General features: G+C 41.6%; 1 long non-coding RNA gene across 4 annotated transcripts in view; it reads left to right on the forward strand.

Moving 5' to 3' along the window:
- LOC101927389 (uncharacterized) overlaps nucleotides 1-9,716 on the forward strand; it is a 35,673-nt gene extending 25,957 nt beyond the window's left edge. For 2 of the 4 annotated variants that reach the window (XR_243722.5, XR_934870.3), the window contains one exon: nucleotides 9,277-9,716. This is a non-coding gene — a long non-coding RNA (uncharacterized LOC101927389). Of the gene's footprint in view, nucleotides 1-2,527; nucleotides 3,305-9,276 lie in introns of those variants that run through there. The other 2 variants (XR_934869.3, XR_001752944.2) reach the window with 2 other exon arrangements.

The following is a 9,716-nucleotide window of genomic DNA, read 5'->3' on the forward strand; positions in this document are numbered from 1 at the left end:
TCAAATGTGATAGGAGTTCTGAGCCTACTACCCATAGGGTCTCATTCCCAAGGGAGAAAATTCAATTATCAAAATTTTGAACAGGCCCAAATCAGATTTTCTGTCACCCCTTTTTGTGCTTAGGAATCTGGTGATGTTGCAACAGCTGTTTATAATTGCAACCCAAATCCCAAATTAGCAAGGCAAAGTGGAAGAATCAGCTAGCCATTACTCCTGGCCCCTTAAAGCACCTTTAAAAAAAACCTGCCGCAGCGACATTGACACTACTTTTGGAGGCTTTAAATAACTACCAGTTCTGACTGTGGGCTCCTAAGCTGAGCAGCCCCTGCGCACATTGTGTCCCTGGCTCCCCTGGTAGCAGAAAGCTAATCAACACACCCGGGAAACCCCTGTTAGACCTCAGGCTCTGTTAGCAACAACACAACAAACAAAGGGCTTCTGGGTGTGAACTTCTGGCTGCTTCAAGAATGGTTGCTAAAATAAGGGGGTCAAAGCTACAGGTGTTCTCAGCCTTCAGAACAAGCTACTAGTGCAGAGTCAAGGCTGGGCAAGTTTGGCTGGGCCTAAGAGAAAGTTCTTAGGGTAATAGTCATGGACGGTCATGGACCATTCTGCAGACCAAAGTGACAAAGAAGCAAGGTAGCTGTGTTTGTTTTCTTACAGGACATAGCAATTGTCTAATTAAATTCTCTGCCCTTCTAAGTCATTATCTATATGACTTCTGGTTATCTTTTGATAACACAGATTGGACTGCGTTATTTCTGCTTAAAATTCACATCTGAATTGCCAGGACATAGAGAATTATGGCAATTCCATGGCAAGCATTTAGTCTCCTTCCACCATCTGGTCATAACTTACTTACCAACCTTATCTTTGGCCACCATTGTCTATGAACACTGGGTTTCAACTTCATTGCCCTTTATCCCCCAAACATGCCATTTGCTTTATTCTTCAGGGGACATTTGGTTTGGCAATGTTTGGAGACATTTTTGTTTGTCACAACTGGACAGGAATGTGCTACTGAAAATTTAGTGGACAGAGGTCAGGCATGCGGCTAAACATTATACAATGCACAGGACCTCGCCCTAAATAATGAGTTATTCAGCCCAAGATGTCAGTGGTGCCAAGGTACAGAAACTCTGACATAAGCACTTAACTCTACCTAAAATACCCTTCCTTGTTCCTTTCTCCTGCTGTCTTTTCTCAAACTGGTGAAATGCTATTCATCTTCCAAGCCCTGCTTTAATTTTCCCCCCTCTGTGAAGCCTTTCTCAACCCCACTTCCCTTCTTTTGTTGCTTTAGTTCCCTTTTTTTTTTTTTTTTGAGATGGAGTCTCGCTCTGTCGCCCAGGCTGGAGTGCAGTGGAGTGACCTCGGCTCACTGCAAGCTCCGCCTCCCAGGCTCACTGCAAGCTCCGCCTCCCAGGTTCATGTCATTGTCCTGCTTCAGCCTCCTGAGTAGCCAGGACTACAGGCGCCCGCCGCCACCATGCCAGGCTAATTTTTTGTATTTTTATTAGAGACGGAGTTTCACCATGTTAGCCAGGATGGTGTCGATCTCCTGACCTCGTGATCCGCCTGCCTCGGCCTCCCAAAGTGCTGGGATTACAGGCGTGAGCCACCGCGCCCAGCTGCTTTAGTTTCTTGGTCCAATATGGTAGTAATATTACGTCCTAAGGTCTAATATTATGTCCTAACCTCTATTAAAATACTTTAAACATTTTACTTTTTTTTTGAAAGAAGAATAGACAACAAGGGTTACTTTCTCATTTAGAACTCAGAAAATCTTCTTAAACCTCCAATTCTGTGTTTGGTGTGAGTTCATACCACACCCCGTTGTCCCGAGGGTTTCTGCGGATTGAAGTCACACTGAGCTCAGCTGGCTGCATCCTTGGCTTGTGGGTTGTCACCATACTGTGTGTGCCAGAGTCAGTGCTACACCACCTCAGCCCAAACAGGAGGAAATGCAGGCCTTTCCTCCGTATTTTCAAAACCCCTACTCACACAAGGCAATCTTAGCAGAGTAAATTTTACTGGAAGGAGGTGGGGAGGCAGTTTGCTCTGCAGCAATGCAAACAATTTCAAAGTGGACACTGGACATCTCAGTTCTAAAAGCTTCAGCCACTTCACCCAGCAGATGTTTCCAAAGTTGCCTCCCATGTTGTGCTCCCGGTGCAGCACCAGCCACACTAGTGGTTCTCTCTGTCCCTGACTCTCTTGCCTCCACCTCACCTATTCCCTCTGGGATTAGCTCCAAGAAATCTAATTTATTTTCACCTTCTTGTGTTTATTTCTGCCTTCCTCCTTTCCCTCAACTCGAATCTGTGTCCACCTTTGCTCAAGCATATCAACTGAAGCACTCAGAAGGAAAAACAAAGAGCAGTACATTTCCAGAATGACCTTGGAAGGCAGGTTTGGTTAAAAAATAGCAATTATTTTCCCTTTATTATATTTTTCTATCTGATGCCCCATCTCAAAACCACTTTCTTCAAGAACACAGACTGAAACTCCTTTATCTATATTTCAGGGCTTAGGACAGTGTTGGGTACGTTATTGATGATCAAGGAATACTGAAGAGCTGTTTTCCTATTTTGGTGCAGATGTGGAGAGAGGATTGCTTGAGACTCTTCCCAGCTCTTGAGATTCCATGTAGGTTGTGAACACTGAGGAGTGTGTGGAGCTTATGTCTGAACTTCACCTCTCTAATGTGACCATCCCTGAAATGAAAAGAAAACCAGTGCTAAATGGAAATACCTTCTTTCTTTCCCTCCCACAGCTCGTGCATATCTCTTCTACACTCAATCAGCATCTCTAGAGGAGGTGCCAGCTCTCTCAACAAGTAATTCCTTTTGGCCCCATCACAGAAGGGAAGTACAATCAACAGCAATGAAGCTTCTTTATTCCTTGCTAATTTAGTGCCACGACACATGATATGCACAGCTTTGTGAGTGGGAGGGTTTCAAAGCAGGAAGCTTTGGATCTGACTTAGGGAGGCTGGTTATCCACTTACGATACTTGACTTAGCAGAAGCCAGTCTTTGTGAAAGCTGTTATGGGGCCCCCTGCTGGCATTGTGACATGGAGACACTTCATCTTCAGTGAACCTACAGTTCCCTCTGGGAAGCTTCAAGTTCAACAGGGCTGTGGACTTGCAGAGATTCTTGCTGTAGGCTAGGAAAGTAGATTGTAGTACTAGTACTACTGCTAGTACTACGTTTTCTACTATCTTTGGGTTTCTTGGGCCACTTTGAAACTCTAACCACAGTGTTTTCAAACTTGCAATGGTAAAATGCATTGTAAATAAAAATTTTAACTTAAAGAATACAAATTTTTTGAATACACAATTTATTTGGAATTTTATATCATAGTAGCAAGAATAAGAACACCATTAAGATATTGTTAGAAGCATTTTCAATAAGAAAACTGATAAACTGTGCATACAAACATCATGGATGAAAGGTAATGTAGTGAAAAAGAGGGAGTGGGATGGCAGGGAACATAGGCAGATCTGATTCCTAATTCCAGTCTTGCCAACAGCTAGCTCTGAGAACTTAAATCATGATCTCAGTTTCCTCATCTCTCTGTAAAAACAGGATAACAGTAGTTATCCTGCCAAGAGTATAGATTTGCAAGGTGGATCTAAGGAAACAGAGGATTTGGAAAAGTTTGGGGAACTTAAAATAGTTTTGCAGAGAATAACAATAACATTGGCGTTATCTGGGCTACAATGGCTAAACCAGGTGATGGTCTTGTAGCAGTCTTTTGAGAGAGTGGGCCATGATCATGGCAAACTGACATTGTCCAGGCTTTCTGCTTAAATGGGCCCTCTGTTGTTTGGAGTTGCATTCACTGACACTTTTCAAGCAGTTCAGACAGTGTGGGGAGGAGTAAGATGTGGTTCTGGATGATGGTGGTATGAAAACCCTGAAACCACTATGCCTAGGAGCCTCCCACAGATTTTTGGAGATCCCCAGGTGGTCACTGGGAACATTCCTTCAGGGCCTTTCAAGGGTGTTTACTGTGGCAGTGGGAGGGGCCCTGGAATTAGATACCATGGAGACCTCCCTGAAAGAGACCCTGCAGTTCCATGGCCTCAGGCTAACCACAAAAAAAACAAGAACTTCCGGTTCAGTGGCAAATACCATTTTTTATAACTGGGGACCTAATCATTAAAACTAAAGGGCTTGTGTGCAATTTTAGGTACAGGACCAAGACTAGTCTTCCCAAAGACAGGTCCAGGAGGGCCTTCCTTCACTAATCCATCATTTTTCTGTTACCCTGAAGTTAGGTTCCTGTCCATGAATGCCCATCCTGTTTCTTTATGTGTGTGGGGGGTATTTTCTCCTTCAAGTTGGTACAAATCCCACAAAAGGCTCTATAGGACATGTCAGTGTTGGGAAAGATGGAATTCTATGGGTACTGTTCATCTCTCAGGAGCTCCACCACAGTAAGCATATTTTACAAGATGTGAAATATATCCATTAACAAACTTGAGGACGGCAAAGGAGTTCAGGAAATAGATGCCTATGGCTGATAAGAATTAACTTCAGAAGGCTCTTTCTCAACCCTCTGTCTCACTCCTAGTTGTTGTAGGAAAGAGAGGGCACCCTTAAGTGGGGCAATTGAGGGAAATTTAATGAAATGACTATTTACAAAGAAGTGGAACAGTTAAAGGAAATCAACAAGGGATAGGAAAGCATTTAAGAGCTAGCAATAGCTGGGAGCCATTATCATCCTCAGATCTGATGGGGTAAGGGGAGAGAGTGGTTATGTGAGTACAAAGAAAGGTGTAGGAGAGAGACACTGAATAGGAACCGAAGGCTTGGGTGGAGGAACACAGTGACTAAAACCCCTAGTCCAGCAACAAGGGAGCAGGGATACGGCTACCCTATCTCGTTATCTTCCCACCCTTTTTTCTCCTTCCAGGGCTTCCCATTGGCCGAACCTAACAGGAAGCCAAAAGACAAGAACAAATGTGGAGGCTGCACATAGTCCCGGGGCGGGGGGCGAGAACCTTTCAGACAGGAAAATGGAACATATCCAGCATATTTTTGTTGTCTAAAATATCCTATTTGAGAACCAAACAAACAAAAACAACACCATGATTTAGTAGAAAGAGCATAGAGCCACGATTGAGAAGACCAACATTCTAATCTAGTCCCAGCTCTGCTACTGACTTGCCAAAAAGTCTTGGGTTGGCCACGTGGCACCCCTATGTGTTGGTACCTTCCCTTCTCCCTTCTCTAGGGTGCTGTGTGGATGAAGAGGGTTTATCAGTACAGGTGAGTGGTGAACGTGAAAAGAACAGCTGGAGCCCTGGTAAGGAGATGGGGGAGAGGAAGCAGCCACAGGTGCTGTAACTTAGGAAGAGGGAGAAGAGTAGTAATGGGGACACTCATAATCTGATGGTGAAGGAATAAGGGCAGGAGGAACAAAATTATGAGATTAAGCCAAACCCCGAGACGTTCCTCTCCTCTCATGTTCAGCAAGGCATTGGGGGATGTTCACTGACAGCTGCAGATGTAAGCATTAACAAGAGAAGATAGGGAGGCTCTGTTTATTCCCGGGTAAAAGGAACACTAACTATTTTCAGTTTGTGGTTGCTTGCTGTTCTTGCCTAGTTGCCAGACAGCACATCGGAGAGAGATGATCATGCATCTCAATGCCCATGGGTTTCAAATAGACTCGGTCTCTGTTTGCTGCTCATTCTTTAGCATGAGTCAGTAGAGTAGGGGATCTGCTCACAACTAAAGAGAATATTAGAAGAGACAATACCTAAGGGATATCAATGAAGTACAGACCTTACCCAAGTCTCACAGTGAAAACATAGGAGAGGAGTGTGAGATAAGTGGAAGAGTTACAAGAGATGGATCAAAAGCAAATGTGTACAATCCCTTCCACGCAAGGGCTAAGCCAGGTAGAGAGAATATCTGCACAGACAGATCACTGCTGGGGTGAGATCTAGATACATGGAGCTGGGTTCACTGTCCTTGTTCCTTGTTTGGTGTCTTCTCAAAGCCACCAAGATTTGGAAAGGCCACAGTCAGGACAAGTCCTGGTTTGCTATTCCAGGAAGTAGAAGTCTAAGGGAAGAAGAGCAAACAAAGTCAAGAGAATTCAGATTTAAAGATATAGAGCATCTAAGGGCTCTAGATACTTCCAATCACACCTTCAACCAAATCTTCCACCAGGTCCTATAAGAGGCACCTGGGACTTGGGAAACTACTCCAGATACCACCTAGGTTGCCCTCTATTTCAACACTAGTCAATGATCCTTCTCAATTCAGTCGTCCCTTACTCAGGGAAATCTTTTGTGACCTCCCTGACCAGGTCAAATCCTCCTTTTACAGCCCTGGGGGACACTGCCTGTGTAACACTTACCCGGTTTTACAATGATTTTATTGGTGCCTGCCTCTCCCATAGTGTGTAGGCTGCACAAAGCCATGCCTATTTGCAGAGCATTGCACACCCAGATCCTAATTCACCCTATGGAGCTGTATAGGTTCTTTGTTACATCAGTTAGATGGATCATGGAGCAACAAATAAATGTCTGGTTTCTCAGATTCTTGGCCTGTTTCCTGGTACCTGGGATCTCTTGCTCAGCTTGGCCTCTTGACATTGATGATTGAGTTGCATCTTTTGCCTGGCTTTGGGAAACTGCTTGGCTCCAAAGTCTATGTTAAACAGATTAGATAACCGTAGACACAGGAACTACACAAGTGATAGAAGAACAAAGTAGTTGAAGGTACAAGTAAGAAGGACCAGGACTATTGATGACAAGAAAGCGAGGTTACAATTCATTTTTATTGAGTTTTGACCTGCCTGTATGGGTAAGGTGTAGAATCAAGAAAGCCATGAGAGGCCGGGTGTGGTGGCCTGTAATCCTAGTACTTTGCGAGGCTGAGGTGGGTGGATTGCTTGAAATCAGGAGTTCGAGACCATGAGACCAGCCTATGTGACACAGTTAAACCCTGTGTCTACAAAAAAATACAAAAATAACCAGGCATGGTGGCATGTGCCTATAGTCCTAGTTACTTGTGGAACTGATATGGGAGAATCACTTGAGCTCAGGAGGTTGAGGCTGCAGTGAGCAGTGATGGTACTACTGCCCTCTAGCCTGGTCTAGCTTAGGTGACAGAGCAAGACCCTGTGTCAAAAAACAAACAAAAAAAGGCAAACCATGAGAAAAGAAACTCAAAGAATGTCCTGAAGTACTGTACTGTATACAATCAAGCAATTTGACTAAAGGAATATTGAACTCATCAATTTAGACCCTTTAGATCTCTATATGTGAATAGCTTTCTTACTGCTCTCTTGTGTCTTGTACTCCTAGTTTATTCTGAAGAATGCCTCCAAATTAATCCCTCCAAAATATCTGTTTGCTTCAAAATTGCTTTCAATTCACACACCTAAAGAACAAACAAACAAAAGCATTCACCTCTTTAATGGCCCTTTCTGGTAGTATTTCCCATCCTGGAGGCCCCAGGTTCCTGGAAGACTAGAATTAAGAGTTAAGAATGTTATTTTTGACTAATTGTTTATTAAGCACTTTACTAGATCCAAAGTACTCTGCTGAATGCATTGTATTTATTTTCATATTTAACCTTCACAAAAACCCTATGGGATGGAAACTCTCATACACATTTTATAGATGAGGAAAATAAAGCTCAAAAATTAGTAACTTGTTTAAAATCAGACTTAAAATCACACATTCAGGGATGGAGTCAGGGTTTGAATCCATACCCATCTAATCCTGGGACTTAAGCTCTCATGGAAGCAATACAGTAGCAGAACTGTGTAAGCTTTTTTTTGCTACTCCAAAAAGCATCATGGAGCTGATAGTATAAAGGCTTTGGGGTTACAGCCATAGCCTGTGAAGTAAGAGACCAATAATTTTCTTCACCATAATAGTCATAATGGTTATTATCACTGTCATTGTTGTAGATATTAATTGAACATCCAGTTTGTACCAAGCATTATATTCTAAGCATTTTATTTTCCATATCTTCAATTCCTGCTTTACACATGAGAAAACAAGCTGAAATAAGTATATCTTGATTTTATAAACTTAGATTGTAAGTTGCATGAGGACAGGGATGCTGTTTTTTGCTTACTATTTTATCCCTAACACGAGCGCTTTGCCTAGCCCAGAGATGGTGGTCAATAATCAAATATTGATGAATGTAGTTTATTTGGTTGTAAAATACCTGTAGACCCTCTATTCCTTCAACAGTTGCAAATAATTATTATGAAAGATACATGAATTCATGTAAAAGGGGGAAATTTTTGCTTATGAAATGCCTGGACTGATAGTGGCTGGTCAAAGAGAAGCTTATGGCTCATGGTGAGAAACTGTTGAATGTGAACAGTACTCAAGTTGGAATATAAGCTATTGAGAAGTTTTGTTAAAGGGTGATATGTGGAAAGGAAAAAAGTTAATGTTATGTATTTTTAAAATAGAAATGTAGGTGTATAAATATATATATTTATAAATGAAAACTTGATTTATGATACAGAGAACTTCAATGCAAGCAAAAAGATTGTTGCTGGGGTGAATTTCACGAGCATGTCAAAGTAGGAAAAGAAAGTTGGATATAAAATATTTTAAAAGACATACACTGAAATCTTTTTAAAAATGCTCATAATAATAAAGGACTAGATAGTGCTGATTTGTATTTGCTTGCTGACAAGTCAGCCAGTAGAATTTTTATTGTTTATGAACAATTAAGGTTGTGATAGATAACTTGAAAGCCGCTGTAATCTCTGATCATACAATAATTCATTTCACCTTCTCAAAAGCTAAGAAGTTCTTTCTATGAAATCCTACAAAAATCTTTTGGGAATAGAAAGGAAAAAAGATAAATATTTAAAATGGTGAATCTCAAAAGCATGGAATCTGTAGTCTCTTTTCTTGATGTATCATAAGTGAGGAATTTTTGGGTGATTTATAAAGGAAGCTTTCAAGTGAATAAAAGGAAATGCTGATGCCTTTGAAGAACAAACACAGATATGCATGACAGCAGAAGAAAAGAGAGGAAGATGGTGAAGAACTATGAGACCAGATATTGAAAATCAGAAATTCACTGAAACATATCCGTTAAGTTCAAGGTGACGAGGGAAGAAAGAGATCAAGTGGGACAAAAGACTGCCTAATACACACATTCCAGAGTCCATGGAGGTGGGGAGGAAAAAGGGTAAGGATTCTCTTTAGAAAGAATGGATTAAAATTGTGCCAAGAAATAATCTGTTGATAACTAAGAGTCTTTCTTCTTTCCAGAACTTGTCTGAGGCAACAAAGAGAGCAAAGAGAAAGATAAAGATGGAGTCCTCAAAGAATAAACATGATTAAGAGCAGAGCCCACAGCTCCAGATGTGAAAACCATGACTCGATTGTCAGTGAGGAGAGACTGGTCCCTGGGGTTTGCTGACCTCCCAGGGAGCAATGCATTTCAGAGAGCTGTCAGAGCAGTTTTCTTCTTTAAGCCCTGGTTTGTTAATTATTATTTTTTATTATTTAAAAAATGTTTTCTATCGATACATAATATTTGTATATATTTGTGGAGCAGATTTTAGATTGCAGAATTCAATGGTCTAAGGGAGAAGAGATGAACAAGCTTGATGTAACAAGGAAGGTTAAGAGTGATATTTAAATGGAAAGGGAAGTATATATTTTATTGTTTCCTGTTGCTGTAATAAATTATCAAAAATTGTCATAAA

The sequence above is a fragment of the Homo sapiens genome, chromosome 17 (assembly GCF_000001405.40).
Source record: "Homo sapiens chromosome 17, GRCh38.p14 Primary Assembly".
Lineage (NCBI taxonomy): Eukaryota > Metazoa > Chordata > Mammalia > Primates > Hominidae > Homo > Homo sapiens.